The sequence below is a fragment of the Homo sapiens genome, chromosome 7 (assembly GCF_000001405.40).
Source record: "Homo sapiens chromosome 7, GRCh38.p14 Primary Assembly".
NCBI lineage: Eukaryota > Metazoa > Chordata > Mammalia > Primates > Hominidae > Homo > Homo sapiens.
Window position 1 is genome coordinate 132,887,361 of NC_000007.14, and position 27,532 is coordinate 132,914,892.

General features: G+C 40.8%; 1 protein-coding gene across 4 annotated transcripts in view; it reads right to left on the reverse strand.

Moving 5' to 3' along the window:
• The window catches only part of CHCHD3 (coiled-coil-helix-coiled-coil-helix domain containing 3), a 297,221-nt gene that overhangs the window by 102,491 nt on the left and 167,198 nt on the right, over positions 1-27,532 (reverse strand). The window lies entirely within an intron of this gene.

Below are 27,532 nucleotides of genomic sequence, written 5' to 3' on the forward strand. Positions count from 1 at the left end.
TCAAATCTAATATACATGACTACATAATCTAAAGAGAAAAGACCTCTTTAAATTCAACATAAAAACCCAAAATATAAATAAAGAAAATGAAAAAGAATAGACTCATAAGAAACTGCATAAAACAAAAGCATTATAAAATCCAAAGAAGAAGCAAGTAACAAAAACAGGAAAAGAAATCCCAACATGTAACTGGGAGAGTTAATGTTATTAACATATAGAGCACTGAAAAAAGAAGCCTCATCCCCCACTCCTCTCCCCACCGAAAAACAACAAAAGAAATATACACAAATAAACTAGAAATCAACACACGAAAAATACAAATAATAAACACATGAGAAAAACCCAACCCCACATCAAATCAGATAATACCAATTAAGGTAATATGGTGTCATTATTCATCTACCAATTAACAAAAATGTAAAATAAAAATACTCAATATTGGCAAGGATATAAGAAAATAGGCTCTCCTATACACTGCTGGTCAGAATATAAATTGGTATACCCATTTTATAAATCAACTGGATAAAATTAACAAGTCTTTAAAATATACCTATGTACCAGATCTAAAAACTCTACTTATGGTACTCAAGTACTATATGCAAAGATATTCATTATAGGGTTGTTTAAACTTCATTACAAGGTTGTTTAGAATTGCAGAGAAATAAAAACAAACCAATCCAATGGCTAAATGAAATATGTACTCAAAGTATACCACTTAAAAAAGAAAAAAGAAAAAAAGCTATATAAAGGCAGTATAACCTCTTTTTTTGTAAGGAAGACGAAGAGAAAAAACAAAAATAAAAAAACAAAAACAAACAAAAAAGCAGAAGGATATTTTACAAAATGTCAACAGAGGTTACAGCAGACTGGTAGACTTATGGGCGGTATCTATTTTCTTATTTTTGCTTCTTTATATGTTCAGAATTAAAAAGAAACATACTTTATAGTCAAGGGGCAAAAGGAAGAAATTTTTTAAGGTGAGCAAATGAATATGTTTCTTGATTGTGGTGGCGGTTATATAATTACATGCACTTGTCAAAACTCATAGAACTGTATATCAGAAAGAATGAATTTAACTACATAAATTTTAAAAATGAATATAAATTAAGTATACTAAAATTTATAATAATAACTATAAATGTGTGAATGTGTGTATAAATCATTATTATCATTAATCTTCTTATGTGGCCAATTTCACTTCCAGGCATTCAATCCTAGCAAATATTAAAATATAAGAGTATTTACATCTAAGAAAATGCAACCAGCATTATTTAAAGCAACAACTAAGAGTGAACAATAGATGTTTGGGTAAATAAGATATAATCTGACAATAGGATATTGATTATAAAGATTTTGATCCAGCCATATAATCAAACAGTAAGAGTCCTTGAAAGCTGATATCGTAACAGAAAATTAATTTTTTAAAACTCAAAATATTAAGTGAGAAAAAAAACACGTCATAAAATAGCATGTGCCCTAAGCTCCTAATTTTGCATGAGAAATGGGGGAGGGAGGAGCAGAAGGGAGGGACAGAGAAGGTTGAGTACTTGTTTATATGGACATGGAAAAAAGTGTAAAGTATGGTAAGATGTTATAGTAGTTATGATATATGTAGTGGGATATATTATTTGGACTGTTTCTTATTTCCTATAATGAACAGTTAGTACTTCTGTGATCAGAAAAAATCTTTTAAACATCAATATTCCATATGTTTACACTTGACTATGAGATGGAAATGTAGCACTGAGGGCATCTAAAAGAGTGAACCTATTAAATAATTATATTAACAATTCAAAAAATTTAACAACTTGAACAGTTATAGATAGCATGGAAATTGTATTACCTACTAAATCCTGAATGTATCAGCACCTGGTTTTCTCCCCCATTCAATGTATGGCATTATCTACCCTGGCTATTAAAACACTCATACTAGGTAATGTTCCCTTTGTTCACAAAGTGAGATTTTTTAAAATGCAAAAAAAATCATAATGGATATTCCATTATCATTATTTAGAAAACACTAAGAGAATTCAACACTTGAGCCTGCTGAGGACACCGCATCAATCAACAAATTTAATTTTGAAGAGCTGATTACAACCTAAATAAAGGGTGTACAGCTATATGCTCACTCACTTTTCTAAGATATGATCCTTGAAAAAGTTTAAAATAACATGTCCAAAGCTCAGATGTGTACACTAAAGACCAAAGAGGGCAATATTTCCTAAGACCCAACACCACCAAGTTATAGGCCAGCAGCACACATCTTTCCCTGGATTGCAAACAGAATCAATAGTTTGAGATCCACTGGGAAGAATAACAAAGTAAGAAACATGGCCACAACACTTTAATAGCACATTGCTTTGAAACAGTTAATATGATGCTAGGAGGAAAAGTCACACGATATGAATCCTGAAACTTAAATAAGCCTAGAATACATTGACTAAGCTAATAGCTGCTGAGGATGGAGAGTCACATTCAACTTTAAAAAAGTAGTAAACCTACTGCAAGGAAATGAAACTCCGTAGAGCTCTCTAACAGAGAATCACTGTAAATGAACAAATAAAAACAAAGAGGACTACAACATTATTTATTGATATAGAACCATATCTTGGGAAAAAATAATATAAAACATTTTTCCCCATCTACTATTTGCTATTCCTAGAAGAAATATGTATTGAATAGTTTTCAGATCTTGCCAGATTCGGGATAACGTAACTGGGCTGGAAAATGTGACACAATGTACTTAAGTGGATCATTATGGAAAACTAGAATATCCTATAATTCAAGAGAAACAAAGAAAATATGGAAATCAAGTTTAAGGAACCCAACACGAACATTTTGATGTCTTAACTTGGTGTTGATAGCTAGATTAAAAGTGAAGTACGTATGTTTACTTCCTTAAAGACTTGTCTCTTTTCAGAATAGACTTGAAGGGGCTTTACAACAAAGGCTATAATAAAGTTTATACAAGAGAAAACTGGGATTATGAATATAACATACTGGGCTGATAGAAACTTTACCTTCCCATGAATAGTCCAGGCTAAATCTTCATAGCACACACTTTTCGGCATTACTACGCCCTTTTAGCCCTGGTTGCTCCTGGGGACTCAAGTGTGGCACCAACTGCATGGCATTGGGAACTCGGTGACAACACAACCACTTAGCACAGATAATGTACTGTTACTTTGTATATCAAGCACAAGGCATTTTAAGGCAAGGTTCTGTGCTATGGGCAAAGCTTGTATATTTTAAATGACAAAGTTCCTTGAAATGTCAGTATTCCATTTTTAATAGCTCAGGGTAAAAAACAAAGCAGGTACCTACTCAACTTTCCATGAGATAAGACTATGAAGCCAGAGATTACTAGGATTTAGAAAAGGCAACAACTCTCTTAACAATATAAACAGGACATCCCTGTAACCATATATCCTTTCATTCTAAATCTTTTAACAATCTGAAGCATACATATAAAGAACTGAGAAAGACTAATCTTTCACTATAATATGGATAATCTATGGTAGGCAAAATCTGTTTTACAACTCACATAGGCAGATGAGCAAATAAGAGTAGGAAAAAGAGCTTTATTTCTTGTCAAAACTACATATGAGGTGCAATATATACGAACCTAAGAAAATTATATGCTGACATAAAACAGAAAAAGAACTGAAATATCAAAGGAGGCCGAACCATAAACTTGTAAGGTAATATTGCATTTAGAAGCTGTAAAACATGATCACTGTGAATATCAATTAGCTGTTAACAGAATAATTAAAGTAGCCATGTATTCAATTAATTGAATTCTAGGCTTTTGTTAGGAGAAATTACATAGGGTTCAATGAGTCTTTACCAAGTGGCATTAATACACAAAGTATTATACTTCCAGCACTGTTTTCCAAACCATATCAGAGGGTGACCTTCAGTAGGGTAACTCACCTAGGTGAACTTAAATGATGTCCAACCTATTATCATACTTTTCAATGACTATTTGGAGGCATAAACATCAGCTATAAGCAGATCCCAGCTGGAAATGTTAAACTGCACTGATGTCCACTAACACTATAACACCTAATATAAGGTGAACATAGACCAGAGAGATGAAATACAAAAGCCCATTCTTCCAATAGACTTCCTAATCTGAAGTCTGGAACTCAAACCCAAGCACCCAGGATTAGATCAAGGCAGCTGGTTTTGGTGCTTGTTTTGTCTTCCCCTTCTCAGAGTTTCAAGAGCCCTGATCGACATTTTAAGTTTCTTCATACTAATAACATACAGAAAACAGCCAACTGATCATGTCCTTTGCCACCTTGGGGTATGATATGGTTTGGCTCTGTGTCTGCACCCAAATCTTATCTTGAACTGTAATCCCCATAATCCCCACATGTTGAGGGATGGACCAGATGGGAGGTGAATGGATAATGGGGGAGGTTCCCCCTGCTATTCTTGTGATAGTGAGTGGGTGCTCACAAGATCTGATGGTTTTATAAGCATTTGACGGTTCCTCCTTCACATGCTCTTTCACTCTCTGGCTTGCCGTGTGAAGAAGGTTCCTGCTTTCCCTTTGCCTTCCACCATGATTGTAAGTTTCCTGAGGCCTTCCCAGGAAGCGTAACTGTGAGTTAATTAAATCTCTTTCTTTTATAAATTAACTACTCTTGGGTAGTATCTTTATAGCAGTGTGAAAATGAAATAATACAGTTAACTGGTACCAAGGTAGTGGGGCACTGCTATAAAGATACAGAAAATGTGGAAGCAAGTTTGGAACTGGGTAATGGACAGACGTTGGGACAATTTGGAGATCTCAGAAGATGAAAGGAAGATATGGGAAAGTCTGGAACTTCTGAGAGACTTGTTGAACGGTTTTGACCAAAATGCTGATAGTGATATGGACAATGAAGTCCAGGCTGAGGTGGTCTCAAGATAGATATGAGGAACTTACTGGGAACTGGAGCAAAGGTGACACTTGCTATGCTTTAGCAAAGACACTGGTGGCATTTTGCCCCTACCCTAGAGAACTGTGAAACTTTGAACTTGAGAGAGATGATGTGAAATTGGAACTTATGTTTAAAAGGGAAGCAGGGCATAAAAGTTTGGAAAATTGGCAGCCTGACCATGTGGTAGAAAAGAAAAACCTATTTTTCTGGGGAGAAATTCAAGCCAGCTGCAAAGATTTGTAAGATTAACAAGGAGCTGAATGTTAATCACCAAGACAATGGGGAAAATGTCTCCAGGGCATGTCAGAGGACTTCACAGAAGCCCCTCCCATCGTAGGTCCAGAGGCCTAGGAAGGAAAAACGGTTGCCTGGACCAGACCCAGGGCACTGCTGCTGTGTGCAGCCTCAGGACTTGGTGCCCTGAGTCCCAGCAGCTCCAGCTCTAGCCGTGGCTAAAAGAGGCCAAGGTATAGCTCAGGCCACTGCTTCAGAGGGTGCAAGCCCCAAGCCTTAGCAGCTTTCATGTGATGTTGGGCCTGCAGGCGCACAGAAGTCAAGAATTGAGGTTTGCGAACCTCCACCTAGATTTCAGAGGATGTATGGAAAAGCCTGGATATCCAGGCAGAAGTCTGCTGCAGGGGCAAAGCCCTCATGAAGAACCTCTGCTAGGGCAGTGCAGAAGGGAAATGGGGGGTTGGAGCCCCCACGCAGAGTCCCTACTGGGGCACTGCCTAGTGGACCTGTGAGAAGAGGGCCACTGTCCTCTAGACCCCAGAATGGTAGATCCACTGACAGCTTGCACAGTGCACCTGGAAACGTCACAGGCACTCAATGCCAGCCCATGAGAGCAGCATGGGGGCAGTACCCTGCAAAAACACAGGGGCGAAGCTATCTAAGGCCATGGGAGCCCACCTCTTGCATGAGGGTGAACTAGACATGAGACATGGAGTCAAAGGAGATTATTTTAGAGCTTTAAGACTTCATGACTGCCCTGCTGGATTTCAGACTTGCGTGGGGCCTGTAGCCTCCTTATTTTGGCCAATTTCTCTGATTTGGAATGAGAGCGCTTACCCAATGCCAGTACCCCCACTTTATCTTGGAAGTAACTTACTTACTTTTGATTTTACAGGCTCCTACATAGAAGGGACTTTCCTTGTCTCAAATGAGACTTTGGACTTGGACTTTTGGGTTAATGCTTGAATGAGTTAAGACTCTGGGGGACTGTGAGGAAGGCCTGATTAATTTTGAAATGTAAAAAGAATCTTATATTTGGCAGGGGCCAGGGTGGAATGACATGGTTTGGCTCTGTGTCCCTACCCAAATTTCATCTCAAACTGTAATCTCCATAATCTCCACGTGTCAAGGGACAGACCTGGTGGGAAGTGGTTGGATCATGGGGGCGGTTTCCCACGAGCAGTTCCAGTGATCAAGAGCAAGCTCTCATGAGATCTGATGGTTCTGTAAGTGTCTGAAGGTTTCTCTTTCACAGGCTCTTTCTCCTGCCACCTTGTAAAAAAGGTGCCTGCTTCCCCTTTGCCTTCTGCTATGATTGTAAGGTTCCTGAGGCCTCCTCAGCCATGTGAAATTGTGAGACAATTAAACCTCTTTCCTTTATAAACTACCCAGTCTCGGGTATTTCTTTATAGCAGTGTGAAAATGGACTAATGCAAAAGTATATCTGCTATTCTCTTAAATAAGAATGCAGAGCCAAAAATGAATGATTTTTGAAATTAAAAAGTAAAGCCAACATTGAATAAAGACAGGAGGTTGTTGGAGTACACAAATTTTGAATAGAAAGTGATCTGGTGGTGTTTTGCTTTAAATTATCCCAGAAGTTCTCTCATAACTTTTATGTATATCATAGCGCTTAACAAAAGAAGCAAAATGCAGTGCTGGATGAAATTAGAACCAATTTTATAAACTTTCTTCTATAGCTTGAGAGAGAGGGAACAATTGTAAACTATACATTTACTCCTCCAGTTTTCTAGTTTTATTTCATAATTTGGATGTTATTAGCACTATGACACAGTAAGAAACTCAGTGAGGAGACAGAAGACTTGGGTGCCCATGTTGACTCTTCGGAATCACCACATCACCATGCACTGACCCAGCCCTGCACCCATGTTCCAAACCACTCTTGGATATTACTTCCAGAGTCTTTGCCAAGTCATACCCTAGCTGCTTCTCCTACTTTTGCAGCTAATAAAACCTTTCAATATGTTTCCTATGGCACTTGTTTTTGCTTTTACCTTGTATGATACATGCTTACTTACCCACTACTCCTCTCCTTAACTGTAAACTCTCTGAGACAAGAGAAGGGCTTTCCTCCTCTCTGCCTGTATCTTTGGCTCAAGCTAGATCTGTACTTTCCACAAGGAAACACTCAGTACACAGTAGCTGAATCAAATGAACTGCACTGAGGGCAAGAGTTTGTACAAAGTAAGTAGGTACAGCTTCTGGGAAGGAAATCTGTCCTAATGTCTACGATTTAGTTCAAACTACCACATGATATACAGTGTGATTTTATGTGTACATTATTATGTATGTACATTATTATGTAAGCTCTGAATTAGGTGCTGCCAGCATGTTACTCAGGAATGCACAATCCAGGAGCAATCAGCAAGTATTCTTATTAGAAGCTCAAAAAGTAGGAGGCTACTAGAAGGGCTTCAGTCATCCATGTCTTAATCAACAGTGATGTTTTGCTAATTAGCAAAATGACTGCTGGAAATGGGATTTTATTGGTGAAAATGGTCCATTAACCAGCATGATAAATGTTAGATATGAGTTCTTATCAGTAAAATGAGAGCTCTCACAAAGATATCAGAATTAGCTGCCATATTATAAAGACACTCCTACATATGCTGCATGAACAGGTTAAAGAAATCCAATGAGGCCTCTAGCTTTTACTGTAGGAGTGGTACCTCAGAATTGATCCCTAAAAAGCTCTGTATCCAGCCATGTGTTTAAGACAAAGATTCTCATCCTTGGCACTATCAACAATTTGGACCAGATAATTCTTTGTTATGGAGACAGATCTTACATACTGTAGAATGTTTAGCAGTACTCGTGGCCTCTAATCCGTACAGCCCAGCAGCACTACCCCCTACTCTGAGTTGTGACAAGCAAAATGTCTCCAGACATTGCGAAATGTTGCCTAGGAGGCAAAATCGCCTTCTGTGGAAAACCACAGGTTTAAGAGGTGATATGGTTTGGCTGTGTCCCCACCTAAATCTCATCTTGAATTGTAGCTCCCCTAATTCCCACGTGTCATGCACGGGACCCACTGGGAAGTAACTGAATAATGGGGGAAGGTTTTTCCTGTGCTGTCCTCATGACAGTGAATAAGTCTCATGAGATATGATTGTTTTATAAAGGGGAATTCCTCTGCACAAGCTCTCTTTGCCTGCCACTATGTAAGAAGTGACATTGCTCTTCCTTTGCCTTCCGCCATGATTGTGAGGTCTCCCCAGCTATGTGGAACTGTGAGTCCATTAAACCTCTTTTTCTTCATAAATTACCCAGTCTCAGGTATGTCTTTATTAGCAGTGTAAGAACAGACTACTACAAGAGGATTGTTGGTTGTTTGAGATCAAATACAAAAAGCCTCATCTGTCTCAGGTGAAACTTTCTTGCAAAGAAAATACTTAAAAGAACAGAAAACTGCAACTTCATTGAGTTTTACAAAACGGGTCATATGAATCATTTTGTACTGGATTTCTAATAAAGTTTTGTTCAATAAATGTCTGTACATATTGTAGATTGGGGTTGGGTCTGCTTGTGTTATCTATCATCTGGTGGTTGGGTTGAATTGCAAAGGCGTAAGGTACAAAAGCAATGAGAGTGGCTCAAATCTTTGTAATGTAATGAAATCATTCCCCAGTGAGAAAATATATAAAATATGTACAAAAGCTCGTTCTTTTCTACAACTTCTGGTAAAACTAGAATCAAAGCTTCTATCACATATAAGACTTTGAATCCATTTAACTTATGTTCAGATCAGGCAAGGCTGAGATTCCATTGACACAAACTGGTTCTGGTTGTTTAACATTTGTTCTGCTTGGGCAGTGACTATGCCATACCTGTTGTTAAATATTTTATATATAATTCCTGAGAACAAGGCATATTGTGATTCCATTATAACTTACAAGTTTCATGTTACAAAGTAACATGACATTTCAACATGAAAGGTGCTGAAACATATCACTGCATCAGTTCAGTGGCATATGCTCTGTGCTCTCCGCCCAACATCCATTTAAAACAAGAACACTCGTCACAATCCCCAACCCATAAGAAACATTAAATAAATGCTGAATCAAAACTCAAATGAATGGCTAGGGTTTCAGAATTCTAACACAAGCAGTCTTATCTTCTCTAATGACAATGGCTTCAGCTACTACATGTTTATGAAAGACACAAGTGAATATAAACAGCTAACAAGCCTAAAAGACCATGGTGAATCAAATTCAGCAACTGAATATAAAACACAGCTCCAAAAAGCTACATTCTATAAAACAAATTAAGGACTGTATGTCACAGTATCACTAGCAAACTTAAAAACTTCAAAGCTAAGAATTAGCACTGAAAGAGGAAAAAGTGGTAAAAGAGGCCATATTCTATAAAACTGTGTGATTATATGGACTTAGAGCAGGAAGGGGTTTTTACTATTAAAGGCAGCTGCAGCACAGATTGGCGTTATCAACTACTGAATGCTACCATCACTGGTAAAAGCAGGGTGGTCTCAACTCTAAACCACAGCTGTTGTGAGTACAGAGTGGGAAGAAATACTAAGCATTTTGAGTTACATAACTTAAGGTGCAATTATACTCAAATATCTCTATCTTCTTATTCCATATTGTGGGGAATAAAACTTCCATTTCCAGGCACTTACATATAATCTTGTTTTACCATGGAGATTAAAAATCTCAGAAGCACTCTGACATAGAGACGCCAGTTAAACTGCACTATCTGCACCAAGGTATTTGGTGTCAGTGAACTGACAAGTAAATTGGACAACAACATGGAGACAATTACCGCACAACTTCTGAATTCCTTTTCTTTGTACTAACTTGTATTTGTTCAATTTAAATTTAGACTTAATGTTCACACTATTGGGACCAATTGGCCACTCAACCTCTTTTCTTGCAATCTGTTTCACATTCAGAGCTGAAGAAAACATCCAGAGATCACTCAGTTCATTTTCTAGGAAGTAAGCGAGGCTCCAAGCTCTTTGTCTGCTAAGGGAATTCTTGAAGGTCAGAAAGAGAATTGGTTCTGGGACTCCTGCCTCTTGACAGCAGTGTACTTCCCATTGCTCTGACTTTATTTCTTCTCATGCTGGCTTGAAGTTAAGAGAAGAAAATGTAAAAAATTACTAATCAAACATTTGTAGCAATTTTCAGCCCTATTCAACATAAAGATTTGTTTTTAAAGATTTTCTGCAACCATTATTGCACACTACACTAAAAATAACTTCAAATCCACCTGTATACTATGTCGGTTCAGGTCTTCTGGAATGCAGATGCTAATGTGTCCGGAATTGGTGGGTTCTTGGTCTCACTGACTTCAAGAATGAAGCCGCGGACCCTCGCAGTGAGTGTTACAGTTCTTAAAGGCAGCGTGTCCGGAGTTTGTTCCTTCTGATGTTCAGATGTGTTCGGAGTTTCTTCCTTCTGGCGGGTTCGTGGTCTCGCTGGCTCAGGAGTGAAGCTGCAGACCTTCGCGGTGAGTGTTACAGCTCTTAAGGCGGCGTGTCTGGAGTTGTTTGTTCCTCCCGGTGGGCTCGTGGTCTCCCTGGCTTCAGGAGTGAAGCTGCAGACCTTCGCGGTGAGTGTTACAGCTCATAAAGGCAGTGTGGACCCAAAGAGTGAGCAGTAGCAAGATTTATTGCAGAGAGCCAAAGAACAAAGCTTCCACAGTGTGGAAAGGGACCCGAGCGGGTTGCCACTGCTGGCTGGGGCAGCCTGCTTTTATATTCTCTTTTCTGGCCCCACCCACATCCTGCTGATTGGTAGAGCCGAGTGGTCTGTTTTGACAGGGCGCTGATTGGTGCGTTTACAATCCCTGAGCTAGACACAAAGATTCTCCACGTCCCCATCAGATTAGCTAGATACAGAGTGTGGACACAAAGGTTCTCCAAGGCCCCACCAGAGTAGCTAGATACAGAGTGTCGATTGGTGCATTCACAAACCCTGAGCTAGACACAAAGGTTCTCCACATCCCCACCAGACTCAGGAGCCCAGCTGGCTTCACCCAGTGGATCCCGCACCCAGGCTGCAGGTGGAGTTGCCTGCCAGTCCCGCGCCGTGCGCCCGCACTCCTCAGCCCTTGGGTGGTCGATGGGACTGGGCGCTGTGGAGCAGGGGGTGGCGCTCGTCGAGGAGGCTCGGGCCGCACAGGAGCCCACGGAGCGGGTGGGAGGCTCACGCATGGCGGGCTGCAGGTCCCGAGCCTTGCCCCACGGGAAGGCAGCTAAGGCCCGGCGAGAAATCGAGCGCAGCGCCGGTGGGCTGGCACTGCTGGGGGACCCAGTACACCCTCTGCAGCCACTGGCCCAGGTGCTAAGCCCCTCATTGCCCGGGGCCGGCAGGGCCGGCCGGCTGCTCCGAGTGCAGGGCCCGCCAAGCCCACACCCACCCGGAACTCCAGCTGGCCTGCAAGCGCCGCACACAGCCCCGGTTCCCGCTCGCGCCTCCCCCTCCACACCTCCCTACAAGCTGAGGGAGCGGGCTCTGGCCTTGGCCAGCCCAGAAAGGGGCTCCCACAGTGCAGCGGTGGGCTGAAGGGCTCCTCAAGTGCCACCAAACTGGGAGCCCAGGCAGAGGAGGCGCCGAGAGCGAGCGAGGGCTGTGAGGACTGCCAGCACGCTGTCACCTCTCACTAAGACATAAAGTACAAGAGACTGATTATGGGGGCATGTGTGGGAAGGGTGGAGGAGAGAAGGAGCAGAAGAAAGCAGGAGAGCCTCAGACTGTGCTGCAGGTCTGACACCAGCAACAGGAGGGAAGGAAGGAAGATCATACGCAGCTCTGGGAAAATCTTAGCCAGGCTGATGGGGAGCCCCAGAGCGCATGGTGGATCCCAAAGGTGCAGCAGCTCGATGCTGTCAGCTAACTGCACCACACCCTTTGAGGCAGGTTCTCTTAAACATAGAGCTAAAGGGCACGCTCCTATGGCCGCCACATAATCAGATTTGTTAATTAACACAAAACAAAATGATGACAGCAAACATCAACTTCCACTTCAAACAGAATGTAAACCAGCAGAGAATGAGGTTTACATGTGTTTGTATGTATCAGTTCCCTTTAGAATTGCTTCACTTATGCAGGCCAGGCAGAGTAAATCCGATTGAACTTATGGAATACTATTTGATCCATAAGTTCTATCAAGTAGAAAAAGCAACAAAATAGGCATCAGACAATTAAAGCTTCCATTCCATCTTGGCAGCTAACTCATGGTCTATAGCAGATCACCTCACCTTTCTGGATCTGTCTCTTATCTGTACAATTCAGAGGATAGGCTAAATAATATCTAAGACCCCTCTAACACCCACATTTCATGCGTTACATTTACCACAACATTTCTTCTATTATTCATTTGGAATCTACTAAGCAGCTAGGCCAGAGGAAATTCAATAAATGTGTATGTTCTTCTGCCAAACTGCTAGGATGCTAGGGGCACACATTAAACAACATTTGGAAATAACCGTGTGTATGTGACACCTGGATGCCAGGGGCAGACACTGTGTGGCAGCAGCGTTCCTTCTCTGCCTGACTTGGCACCAGCAGTGGGTTTGCAACTACTAGAACAGAGCCTAAGCCTTAGCAATATTCGCTGGGCTGCCTCCTGAACCTCATACCACCTGGCAAACTCAAATAGGTAAGATTGGGGCTGCAAGGGGCCACTTTTCTAAAATAACCTCAACTCATTGCTGCTAACCAATAATCAGGCATGTTCATCCTGTTTATGTTTCTTTACAGAAGCTGGTACAATTACATCATACGGACATTTAACTTATGCAAACTCAACTGCCCAAGGTGATGGAGGGAGAGAGATAATTTCAGTAGTACCCAGGGCTCCACTTACTCCACAAGAAAGCCTGAGACCGGAGGCATACATCAGCTCTCCTCTTGATCTGTCTCATCTCCCACATACCCTCACAGAGTGAGCATCTTTTCCCAGTGAATGGAACTCTAGTGGTTGAACTTATACAAGATTCATTCACAAACCTTTAAATGAAAGCCAGCACTTTCATCTAGTGCTCAACTAAAGAAAACTACTGACCCAGAATGGAAAAAAAAACTAGCAGTGCTGGACTCAAAAGAATAATTTTGAACAAAAGAAATGTTTACCTTACATGCTGATTTTAAAACTAAATCCTTAAGATGCAACTCTACTATATTCTAAGAAAAATAGAATTTGGAGGCTAGGCATGGTGGCCTGTAAACCCAGCACTTTGGAAGGCCAAGTCGGGTGGATCACCTGAGGTCAGGAGTTCAAGACCGGCCTGACCAATATGGTGAAACCCCGTCTCTACTAAAAAAACAAAAATTAGCTGGGTGTGGTGGTGGGCACCTGTGGTCCCAGCTACTCAGGAGGCTGAGGCAGGAGAATTGCTTGAACCGGGGAGGCGGACGTTGCAGTGAGCCGAGATAGCACCACTGAACTCCAGCCTGGGCGACAGAGCAAGCCTCCCTCTCAAAAAACAAAAAACAGAGAGAGAAAAAAAGAAAAATAGAATTTGGAAAATCACTTAAGGGATAAAAATTACTTTCTAAAGAAATCTTCCACAATGGGTCACTGGTAATGAAAGTACAACAGAACACTCAGCCCTTTACAACATCCCAGTTTTCCCCAAACCCGTAGTGAGGGAATTCTTGAAAACCTTCAGCCTCTGTACAAAGCCTCCGGCTTATCTAATCAAGGAAAATAAGTTAAGAGATAAGATCTTGGGAATAACAAATGATAACCTGAGGCCTAAACATGGTAAAAAGGGAAAGAAGTCTTAGAAGGGAGCAATGGAAAGAAGAGAATGCGCTCAAAGCACGAGTCATCTGAATAGAAAGCAACAGCGCACACAAGATAGGATGGAAATCAGCCACCTCAGTGCCGGGATGGAGGTGACTGAAGAGAGACATGCCATCATCTGCCCATTAAAGAAGCCACCCTGAGGCAAAGGCAAAGGCCACAGGAGGGAGGCAGGGGGTCCTCTTGTCTGACTCAGTCCTCAGGCCTGGCTGGTTTAGACTTAGCTTTGTTCTTCTCTGATGGCCAGTGATGATCAGATCTGTTCATGTGTCTGTTTGGCTACATAAATGTCTTCTTTTGAGAAGTGTCTGTTCATATCCTTCGCCTACTTGTTGATGGGGTTGATTGTTTTTTTCTTGTAAATTTGTTTGAGTTCATTGTAGATTCTGGATATTAGCCCTTTGTCAGATAAGTAGATTGCAAAAATTTTCTCCCATTCTGTAGGTTGCCTGTTCACTCTGATGACAGTTTCTTTTGCTGTGCAGAAGCTCTTTAGTTTAATTAGATCCGATTTGTCAATTTTGGTTTTTGTTGCCATTGCTTTTGGTGTTTTAGTCATGAAGTCCTTGCCCATGCCTATTCCTGAATGGTATTGCCTAGGTTTTCTTCTAGGGTTTTTTCTTCTAGGGTTTTTATGGTTTTAGGTCTAACATTTAAGTCTTTAATCCATCTTGAATTAATTTTTGTATAAGGTGTAAGGAAGGGATCCAGTTTCAGCTTTCTACATATGGCTAGCCAGTTTTCCCAGCACCATTTGTTAAATAGGGAATCCTTTCCCCATTTCTTGTCAAAAACCACAATGAGATACCATCTCATTTAGAATGGCAATCATTAAAAAGTCAGGAAACAACAGGTGCTGGAGAGGATAGGGAGAAATAGGAACACTTTTACACTGTTGGTGGGACTGTAAACTAGTTCAACCACTGTGGAAGACAGTGTGGCGATTCCTCAGGGATCTAGAACTAGAAATACCATTTGACCCAGCCATCCCATTACTGGGTATATACCCAAAGGATTATAAGTCATGCTGCTATAAAGACACACACATACGTATGTTTATTGCAGCACTACTCACAATAGCAAAGACTTGGAACCAACCCAAATGTCCATCAATGATAGACTGGATTAAGAAAATGTGGCATATATACACCATGGAATACTACGCAGCCATAAAAAATGATGAGTTCATGTCCTTTGCTGGGACATGGATGAAGCTGGAAACCATCATTCTCAGCAAACTATCACAAGGACAGAAAACCAAACACCACATGTTCTCACTCATAGGTGGGAACTGAACAATGAGAACACTTGGACACAGGAAGGGGAACATCACACACCCGGGCCTGTTGTGAGGTAGGGGGAGTGGGGAGGGATAGCATTAGGAGAAATACCTAATGTAAATAACCAGTTAATGGGTGCAGCACACCAACATGGCACATGTATACATATGTAACAAACCTACACGTTGTGCACATGTACCCTAGAACTTAAAGTATAATAAATAAAAATAAAAAATAATAAAAAAAGACTTAGCTTGTTCACATCACTATTTGTGAACAATACTCTGGTATGGGAAGACCAAAACGAGGCAGAGAGCTCCACAATCCCAAATTCTAGAAACTCCTGTCATACCAGAGTTTTGCTGTCAAGGTACTCAGGAATAGACATGATCACCATTGTCAACTTACAATTTTTAACATCCTTTGTCACCTTGAAAGACCTGTAACTATATAATCACACTAGAAAGCCTCACTGCACAGCAATGTGAAGCAAGTACAATTGTCTCTCAGTATCTGCAAGGGATTGGTTCCACAACTCCCCAAGACCCAAATCCACAAACGCTCAAGTCCCTGATATAAAATGGCATAGTATTTGCATATAAACTATGTACCTCCTCCCATACATGTTAAAGCATCTCTAGATTACTTATAATGCCTAATACAATGTAAATGCTATGTAAGTAATTATTATCCTGTATTTATTTTTTATTTGTATTCTTTTTAGTTGTTATATTGGGGTTTTTTTCTGAATATTTTCAATCCTTGGTTGGTTGAATCTGCAGATGCAGAAGCCGTGGACACAAAGGGCCAACTGTAGTACAGTTTCTACACAACCTTTTTATTTTTTTATCTTACAGTTAAGGAAACAAGTTGCAGAAAAGTGACCTGCCTGAAATCCACAAGCTGGAAGAGCTGTCTCATGAACACAGAATTTCTGACTCTTCCCAGGAGAGCTCACCAGGCAGATCCATCTCTAGGTTTGAACCCAACAACAACAACAACAACAAAAACAACCTCATAATTCTCGTTTGGTCTTGCCTTCTGGGGAAGTCAGAATATTCTTAACTACCTGGCATGGGTATCCGGCCTGCTTATGGCTATAGTTATTGTTTTAATTACATATTGCCTTTCTGACTTAAAACTCATCTTACTGTGGGTAGGATTTTCATTAAGGCATCATTTGATCAGATGCTAGAAAGCTCTTCGCAAGTATTCGAACTGAGGAACTAACTGATCAGATTCCAGACCAGAGGAAAGAGATTCCCACCCTTAAGCCTTTTAAACTGCATGTGAGTATATTACATGTAAAATCATCTTAATGACAAACATGAGTGACGTCTGATGCCATATTTCTCAGCTATCAAAAATACTTGAACAAAGGACAGGCATGGTGGCTCATGCCTGTAATGCCAGCATTTTGGGAGGCTGAGGTGGGGGGATCATTTGAGGTCAGGAGTTCAAGACCAGCCCGGGCAACATGAGACCTCATCTCTACAAAAGATTTAAAAAAAAATCAGCTGGGCATGGTGGCATGCGCCTGTAGTCCCAGTGACTCAGGAGGCTGAGGCAGGAGGATCATTTGAGCCCAGGAGGTCAAGGCTGCAGTGAGCTATGATCATGCCACTGTACTCCAAGCCTGGATGACACAGCAAGACTTTGTGTCTAGAAAAAAAAAAAACCCACAACTTTTTTTTACATATTTAAGGCAGAGGCAGGAATATACCTTAGAAACCAAGGCCCTTAGAAGTTAAAGACACTTTTAGGATCACAAAGCTAACTAGTCATGAGTTAAGAATAGAATACAGATTATTCTGACTCACATTTTAAAGTTAGCATACTAAGCAATATCTCAATATTCTTAAAAACCTACCTGCAAATGACACATGAAAAAATGCTCATCATCATTAGTCATCAGAGAAATGCAAATCAATGCCACAATGAGATACCATCTCACACCAGTTAGAATGGCAATCATTAAAAAGTCAGGAAACAACAGGTGCTGGAGAGGATGTGGAGAAATAGGAACACTTTTACACTGTTGGTGGGACTGCAAACTAGTTCAACCACTGTGGAAGGCAGTGTGGCGATTCCTCAGGGATCTAGAACTAGAAATACCATTTGACCCATCCATCCCATTCCTGGGTATATACCCAAAGGATTATAAATCATCCTACTATAAAGACACATGCACACGTATGTTTATTGCAGCACTATTCACAATAGCAAAAATTTGGAACCAACCCAAATGTCCATCAATGATAGACTGGATTAAGAAAATGTGGCACATATACACCATGGAATACTATGCAGCCATAAGAAAGGACGAGTTCATGTCCTATGCCAGGACATGGATGAAGCTGGAAACCATCATTCTCAGCAAACTATCTATCACAAGGACAGAAAACCAAACACTGCATGTTCTCATTCATAGGTGGGAATTGAACAATGAGAACACTTTGACGCAAGGCGGGGAACAAAATCACACACGGGGGCCTGTCGTGGGGTGGGGGGCAGGGGGAGGGATAGCATTAGGATAAATACCTAATGTAAACGACGAGTTAATGGGTGCAGCAAACCAACATGGCACATGTATACCTATGTAACAAACCTGCACGTTGTGTACATGTACCCTAGAACTTAAAGTATAATAATACTAATTTAAAAAAGCCATAAAAAGGAATGAGATCATGTCCTTTGCAGGGACATGGATAGAGCCGGATGTCGTTAACCTCAGCAAACTAACACAGAAACAGAAACTGAAATACCCCATGTTCTCACTTATAAGTGGGAGCTGAACAATGAGAACACATGGACACATGGGGGGAAACAACACACACTGGGGCCTGCTGGGGGGCTGTCGGGAGGGAGAGCATCAGGAATACTAGCTAATGGATGCTGGGCTTAACACCTAGGTGATGGGATGACCTGTGCACATGTTTACCTACGTAACAAACCTGCACATCCTGCACATGTACCCTGGAAATTAAAATAAAAGTTGAGGGGAAAAAAATGCCTAATTAAAGAAAAAAAAAACTTACCTGTAAATAAGAATCCAAAAATAGAAATCCTTAATATGTTATTCCAAACATAACATCACCAACCACCCCACTCCTGCCACCACATACACAGAGACGTATTTAAAAGCATGTATTAACCGTCCATTTGGATGGGCTGATCATCTGCAGAGCTTCTAAGATGCAATTCCTCTCCAGAGGCATTTACTAATCGAGATGAGTACTGTACTGCAGAGTGGACAAAAGGATATTGCCAGAAATCAAAATAGCTGCATGAAAATATATTCACGGAAAGTAACAGACAAATATATTAAGCATAAATAACCAAGACACGTAACTCAATTAGTATGGTAAGAGAAATATTTTGCTGAAGTGCTGGCTTGATCCTTTACACATTTACAATACTATGCAAAGAGAGTGGATGTTAACTGCACTGGCCACAAAAATTATAACTATGTGAGATAAAGCATTTGGTAATTAGCTGGATTTAAAAATTCCACAATGTATGATATATACTTCAAAACATCACATTGTACATGATAAATACATACAATGTTATCTATCAATTTAAGAAAATTTTTAATTAAAAAATTTACAATATTAGCCAGCTATCAATTTATTTTAAATGTTAAATGTTTTGTGATCCTTGCCATTTGTCACTTTGCACAAAATATTCTAGGCTACAGTAAACAATTAGTGCTTTTTCTAACCGAACAAAAAAGCCTGTTTGCTTTGAAAACTGCATACCACCTGCTATTAATCTGAAACTGAAAACAAGCAGTGTAATGACAGTTAGCAAGTTAACACCCCCTCCACCTCTTTCCTGAAAGATGAGCATTGAGTACCATTTCATAACCTTTTCAAAATTCTTTTCTAAAAAGTTCTAAGAAACAGATTTATATTTTACTACTAATAATGACATGAGATTATTAAAACCAAACACGGTGCCCCTGCAGTGTGACAAGACTGGTTTTAGCGCTGAAGGAATTCCCTCCCCAACCCCCGCCCCAATCTTTTTCCTTTTTTCTTTTTGTCTGGTGTCAGATGAATACGGCAGTAATGATGACATGATCAAGGAAGAGCTGACAACCAGCTGGAATATTTGTAAAAAAAAGACTGCCTAGCAGGTCTTTGCAGAAAGCTATCTTTTGTCCTCCTGTAGCTTTCTGTCACCTGAGGTAGCCTGCATCCTCCGGAGATGAAACGTAACATAAAACTATTAATTGATCTACTATCCAAATAGCTCCTGTAACACTTTGGAGAACTTTGCAATTTGGTGGGTAGAATGGCCAGGACACCAACTTACTCAGCTCTAAACACAAAGCCTGATCTAAGCAGAATACACAATTCATGATCACCCATAAATGACTCTCAGGCATTCTGAATGTGTCTCTTCCCACCAGAGGAAATAAACCATACCCTATATACATGCTAACATGTTAAGTTAAATGCTAAAATAATTTACACACCTGAAGAACAAAATAAACTTAATATATCTATTCATTTATTGAATAAGCACTCAATGAAAACCTGTGTTGTACAAGACCCTCAGTCACTGAACAAGACAGGACAGACTACAATAAATAACTTGTCTATTGCATCTCATTCAATGATCATAAACCACAATCCTAAAGCTCCCATTTACACACAGAGCTATAAAACTACCAAGAATCCATTCCTGTCTACAGATGCCACGTTTTTCAGGAACTTATAAATTGGGGTAGAGGGCAGTGCACAGCTTGTAAACACAAGCAACCATAATAGAATATAATATACAATAAGGACAGTAAATGCTGCCAGGAAAATAAAGGATTTCATCAACTGGACTAGAACTTGAAAGCCAGATGAGTAGGATTTGGATGGGCAGAGATAGGGTCAAAGGCCATCGCAAGAAAGGGGACAAGAAACAGAGACACAGAGAAGGGAAGAAAGGAGGCCTCAGCAAGCCTATCAGTTGAAGAGGGAATTACAGTAAGAGGGCCAGAAAATAAGTGAGAACTAGTCTGTAGGAAGACTTAACTGGCTAAGAGGTCTGGACTTCATCCTGTAGGCCATGGGGGGGCCGCTAAAGGTTTTTGAGCACAATGGAAACAGTATTTTAGGAAGATTAATCTTGGTATGTAGGATGGATTAGAAAGAGGGGAGAATGCCAGTAGGGAAACCATTAAAGGGCCTGTTGAAAGGATCCAAGTGTGATATAACAGGACCTGCATGTGCTGAATGACAGCTATGTTTCTACCAGCCCTTTCTAAATATCTTCTAAAGGAAAGGTATAAATTCTAGTGAGAGGGCAGTGAACTGCAGAACTGAAAAAAACAAACCACGGTCAAAAACCCAGGGAAATGTACAAGAATTAACACAATACATACCATGACTATGCCACAGAAAAATCTCCAAATAGAATCACCACCGAAACTAGGCAATTTGAAGATAGGCCACGGATATATTTAAGAGATCAGTCACGCTATTCTAACATAAAATTAATTAATTAAGGAAAATATAATTAATGAAAGAGAAGGAAATTTGGGACAAATCATTATGAGGTATTAGGAATTGTTTGCTTTAACCATCAGTCTTGGTCTGCGGTTCAGAATCTGGTGTTTAAGAGAATCATGCTGCCACGGTGCAGGAAAACGTAACTGGGAGTATTCCTGTGTCCAACTTGACAAAAGTACCAATGTCCTTCCATCAAAAATTCAAATTTGCAAATTTTAAGTCCTTTACCCTAAATAAGAGGCTACTATATAAAGTCCCAAACCTTAGAAAAATCATGCTGGCTCTAGATATAAATTTTTAAATGTCTTAATTTTAATATTTGTTCAGATATTTCACTGAGATGTTGTTTAGTATGCCATCTTCAAAATATGAGTCAAAGTAACCTGCACTTTCTTCTTATAAGTATCCTTTCATATCTGAGGCCCTTGGTTTTTAAGGCATGGTCTAAAGGTTAAAACTCTAGACTCTCCTCTGATAAAGACTCCATCCTCTCCAACAAGCTGCTAAGATACCCGAAGAAGAAAGTCACAAGCATAAGCCCTTGTAAGTACTGGGTCCAGGCCAGGCAGGCTCATTTAGGGTCCTGTGGACACTTGAACAAAATGGAAGACAGACACAAAGGAATAGATCCCTGAACTCACGAGTCTGGGGAAAGCTGCTTCTAAATAACAAAGAAGAATAATAACTAATAGTTGTGTAGTACTTTAGAATGTTATAAAGTTATCTCATATTTGTTATATCATTTAATTCTCAAAATAATGCTAGGTCTTAATTAAATTCTCAAAGCTATGTCTAGGGATATGGTTTGGCTGTGTCCCCCTGCAAATCTCATCTTCAATTGTAGTTCCCATAATCTCCACGTGTTGTGAGAGGGACCCGGTAAGAGGTAATTGAATCATGGGGGCAGTTATCCCCATGCTGTTCTCATGAGATCTGATGGTTTTATAAGAGGCTTTTCCCCCGTTTGTTTGGCACTTTTCCTTCCTGCCACACCGTGAAGAAGGACATGTTTGCTTCCCCTTCCACCATGATTTTAAGTTTCCTGAGGCCTCCCAACCCTGCAGAACTGTGAGTCAATTAAACCTCTTTCCTTTATAAATTGCCCAAGACCAGGTGTGGTGGTTCACGCTGTCCCCGCACTTTGGGAGGCTGAAGCAGATGGATCACTTGAGGTCAGGAGCTCGAGACCAGTCTGGCCAACATGGTGAAACCCCGTCTCTAATAAAAACACAAAAATTAGCCAGGTGTGGTGCGCATCTGTCGTCCCAGCTACTTGGGAGGCTGAGGCAGGAGAATCGCTTGAACCCAGGAAGTGGAGGTTGCAGTGGGCCAAGATCGTGCCACTGCACTCCCATCTAGGTGACAGAGCGAGCCTCCATCTCAAAAAACAAACAAAAAACAACAACAACAGAAAAACAAATCTCAAGCAGTTCTTTATAGCAGCATGAGAACAGACTAATACACCTACAATACTATATAGCAGAGGAATGCTAAAATAAACAAATCTTGCCAAAATTATCACTCCCAACTTCACAGTGGAGCACAATGAGGGTCACAGAAGTGAAAGGGATTGGCACAGTTACACAGCCAATAAGTGGTCAAGATGATGTTGTATTTATTTTTTAATCAACTACTCTCTCATTATTAACACAACTACCTTTATCTTCTTCTCTACAAAGCCATACCAGGCTCTATTGACCATTTTCTTTTAGAAACTTCATGGCACTTGCAACCTACAGCACACAATTCATTCAGCAATGGTTACAGAGAAACTCCTATGCATGAGGCAATGTACAAAGTGTTATTGCTTAGAGGCTGGAGTAAGAATGAGAAAATAATCAGGTATGAGCTTTCCCATGAAAAACTGGTACCAAGCATACACACTTGACCCTTGAAACATGGATTTGAACTGAGCAAGTGCACTTATAAGCAGACTTTTTCCAACTCAAAGCAGATCCAAAATACAGTAGTCACAGGATACAAAACCTAAGCATAAACTTTCTATCCACAAGTTCTGCAGGGCCAACTGTGGGACTTAAATATGCACAGATTTGGATATATTAAGGGCGGCCCTGGAACCCATCCACTGTGTATACCTAGGGACAACTGTATTTGTACCGGTAAAACTTGCCAAGGGCAGGGGGTATTTCTTTTTATTACTGTATGATCAGAGTCCAGCATAGTGCCTGCAACTCCATAACAAGTGCCCCCCACATGCTTGATGCATGTCTAGGAGAGCAGAAAGAGTTGCCCTGGCTCCTATACTTGCCTGTATTGTTCAGGCTCCTGACAGACACAAGTAGGTTTAACTAAATGCATACTCTTTATTCCTTAACTTTCTTATACTAATAAACTATTGGGAATTCAAGCAGATTTTTGACAGAGAATGGTGAATAGAACAAAGTATATTTCTGCAGTTTCCCTTTGTATATCTGTCTCTCAGTTTAATATTGAACACTTCTATGTGTCATTTTCTCCATCTCTCTTGTGCCAAGAGATAGCTCTAAGCAGGCAGCTTAACTATTTCCATTTCTCTTCATCCAAGCTGACCCCCTCTAACTTTCTCAAACTGAACACAGCAGCACGTTACAGATCAGAAAAGGGCTAGCAATTATATGCTTCTAAGACATGGAAGACAGAGGCAAGGATGTCACTGCTCCTGACTCCCATGCTCATAGCAGACGTTGCTCAGCCAGCACTGTCTTTCCTGACCCTACCGAGTCTGAGTAAGGCTACACAACCTTTCCCAACACAGCTCACTACGTAAGCATTACCAATCAACGGGAGCTGGCTGACAGTTTGCCACAGTACTATCCTGACTGTCAGATATGCTAAGGGTGAAAGAGTAACACAAGGAGAAGAAAAACTAACAGAAAACCAAGAGGAGTAATTAAGGGCATAAAAGGAGCATAATTAAGAGCAGCAGATGCAATAACAGATTAGGCTCAAAAAGAAGCATGGCCCATTCTCAGTCATGAAGAATAAGGGTTAAAAGGGCAAGAAGAGATGGGAGTTCCACAAACACAGTCCAGTAGACTCACAAGGCATGCCCAGTGTCTAAATGAACACATCAACACTAAAGCAAGGACAGAGAGCAGCCCACCCTCTTGGAATTAAAAACTAATAGGAACAATATGGGAAGGGGTCCCAGTCAAGGAAGTAGCCATGAGATGACTGGCCACCCCCATCTACAAAGAGCTAGAAGCAACCCGAGAACATCATTAACTACCTGTCAATGTTCTCTTCAGGCACAGAGCAGCAAAGACCTTTCAGATCACACTGGAAGGACAAGGACTATTCATAGGTTATCTTACTGTTCCCAGCAACCACCAGAATGCAAATGGGTCAAGGCAGACACAAGACGCTGACAATGGACCTATAAAAAGGCCTAAGGGATTCAAATTACTTTTCTTCCTTCCATAAAAGTCCTGTGAGAAAGCAGAAGTTTGTTGTAGAAGTGCAGAAGTAGTGATTTGGGAAAATACAAGTAGCATGTACCGTTATATTTAAAACTTACCTTGGGTCATCCCAACTTCAGCCTAACTTGTATTTTCCAGACAAACCTTTGCTCTGCTCCCCATCGGTTTAGTGTCTTTTGTGATGGCTTCATAGCAACTGCCTTTTGGCTCTCCATAACCCTTCTTTTATCATCTGTCCCCATGTTTATTGCCCAAAGCAAGTCAAATGTATAAAACTTTGCTATCCAGTAGAACCCCCTTGGTATGAGTGAGATCACTAAATATAAACCAAATCGGAGCTGAATAATTGAATACACATGCAATGTAGGTTAATAATGGAACATTAACATGTCTACCCATGTCCTTTCTATGCCCTCTTATCCCCTCAATTGCTACTAAGTTTTCCATCTTTAGGTTCCCTTACCTTTGCAAACACAACAAACGTGAATTACATCGGCCAAACCAGAAAGCTGCCCTATTCATAATTCTTCACCCTCTGTAAGCAACTACTCACAATATCCTATCCATTAATATGTAATGTATCACCTTCAGGACTTTTGTTATATAGGCCACCATTTAATACCTACTGCTATTCACTTGATATTTTTCTTTAAATTAGCTCTATTTCAAAAGTTGAATAATTATGAGAAGTCTTTATATAACTACCATAATTAGAAAATCAGATTCAACTGTCTAAGTGGAAGATAATAGGGAAAATATAATGGAAACAATTTCTGGTTAGTAACTGTTGCCTGGCCCAAGGTTCTGATCTGAGACATCCTCCCTTCTCTGAAATAAGAAGACAGATAAACTACTAGTGGTTAAAGGTAAAATGATGCTGGCAGTGAAGTATGGGAGTAAATTACATGTTAGCCCATAGCCAGAGCTCCTTCCTGGCTTGAAATGTTGGCTCTCCCACCTACTAGCTATGTGATATTGGGCAAGTTACTTTAACCTCTCTGTGTGTCAGTTTCCTCATCTATAAGACAGGATTTTTTTTTTCTTTGAGACAAAGTCTCACTCTGTTACCCAGGCTGGAGTGCAGTGGCATGATCTCGGCCCACTGCAATGTCTGCCTCCTGGGTTCAAGTGATTCTCCTGCCTCAGCCTCCCAGGTAGCTGGGACTACAGGCGTGCGCCACCACACCCGGCTAATTTTCATATTTTTAGTAGAGACAAGGTTTCACCATGTTAGCCAGGCTGGTCTCAAACTCCCAGCCTCAAGTGATCCACCCTCCTTGGCCTTCCAAAGTGCTGGGATTACAGGCATGAGCCACTGCGCCCGGCCAAAGATGGGACTACTAACAGTACCTCCCACATAAAGATGTTATGAGGTCAAATGGTTTAATATGTAAAGTGCTTAAATTTTCTATATGTTTGTTAAATAAAAACTGTAACTGCCACAATGACAATACTTGGTTCTGCTCAGCAGCCCACATGCACTGTGCCAACTAGAACATCACAACAAATGACACTGTCTACCATGTGATGAAAAACCCAGAACATCAATAAATCAAAACCCCAACTGTGTCAAGGACACATGCTGAAGGAGGCCAGAGAAAAAGAATGTTGAGATTCCAAAGTGAAGGGAATCCACCTTCCATTTCCTCTGCTTCAACGAAGCCAAAAATGTGGCTATCCCCCAAGTCCAACAACCTCTGGAAACTGTGATAGGTACTATCAATGATGAACCAAACCCTGATTCAAGGATCTCAAAGTCAAATGGGGAGACAAATAAATTTTTTAAGTCACAATATAATATGATGATTAAGGGAGGCATGGAACTTTAGAGAAGGGGAAATTATGCCTCTGGAGTCAGAAAAGGCTTCCCTAAGGGAGGTAAATTTAGAGATGAATCCAAGAGTCTGGGTAGGAATTCATCCATCAGGCAAAAAAACAGGTCCCCCAGGCAGAGGGAATAGAATGCACAAAGCCCTAAAGGTGGAAGCATAGGCAGCACTCAGGCTCTGGCCACACACAAGAGTACCTGAACAGTCTTCTTTACATTGGCTATGCCAAGAAAAATCTCACCAAATATCCACATCCTGCAACAGGGAGGTCTACCGATTCTGAAGCCATGATTTCTTACCACATCATGTCCAGGATGAACAAGTGTGGAGAATGAATGATAGCGGAATCTGCACAGAGAGGCACCACAGGGGGCTCAGGCCAGGTTACTAGCAGCAGAGGGAAGGAAAGAAAGGCTTTTAAGATAGACTGAAGAGACTGACAATAACGTGACACCAATGGGACCCACTGGGAAGCAACTACGCTGAGACAGCACACTGTTAGGCAGCAAATCCAGCCAATGGGTGCTTCGGAGCCAGGTATTTCAAGGTGTACTTATCAACAGAAAAAGGCTCTGTAAACGTTTTCTTTTTCTTTTTTTTTTTTTTTTTTTTTGAGATGGAGTCTTGCTCTATTGCCCAGGCTTCCAGGCTGGAGTGCAATGGCATGATCTTGGCTCACTGCAACCTCTGCCTCTTGGGTTGAAGTGACACTCCTGTCTCAGCCTCCCGAGTAGCTGGGATTACAGATGCCCACCACCATGCCTGGCGTGTGTGTGTGTGTGTGTGTGTGTGTGTGTGTGTGTGTGTGTGTTTAGTAGAGATGGGGTTTCACCATGTTGGCCAGGATGATCTTAAACTCCTGACCTCATGATCCGCCCACCTTGGCCTCCCAAAGTGCCGGGATTACAGGCATGAGCCGACACACCCGGCCTAAGGCTCTATAACTTGATTAGTTTAGCAGACAGCATCCATCTTTTCCAAAGAAAAGGAGTTATGTTTGTCAGTTTACTTCATCAGTGATCTCTACTAATGCCTCAAAGATCCAGAAATAACATTACAACCTTAATTATGTAAGCCTAAGCATAAAACTGTGTTCAGCCAAAGTGGCCCATAATTAGTACTATTATGTACATGATTAATAGAAAATATATTTTTTCCACAGAATGAGGATAATAAGTATTGAACTTAAAAAGTGTGATCTAGTTTATTTGTTGTGGTAGACAACTCCTAAAATTCAAAGAAATATAAAAACACTTATCTTTTCCAGACAACAGCCTTCAAATGTTCTCAAGCATTAAACCTGAAAGTTGGAACAAGGGGTGCCGCTCTGGCAGACCCAACGTGCCTTACATGACAGGGGTGCCTGACAGAGATGTGTGTGCGCATGTGGCTCAGTGGGAGGACAGGGACTCTGAAATGACAGATAATCAGATTACCGAAACACAACAACTTGGAAACGATGAGGAAGAAAGCTTCACTGAGAAAGCGAAAATAAAGAAGAATAATATTAAGTTCAACAAAGAGGCTAGGCGTGGT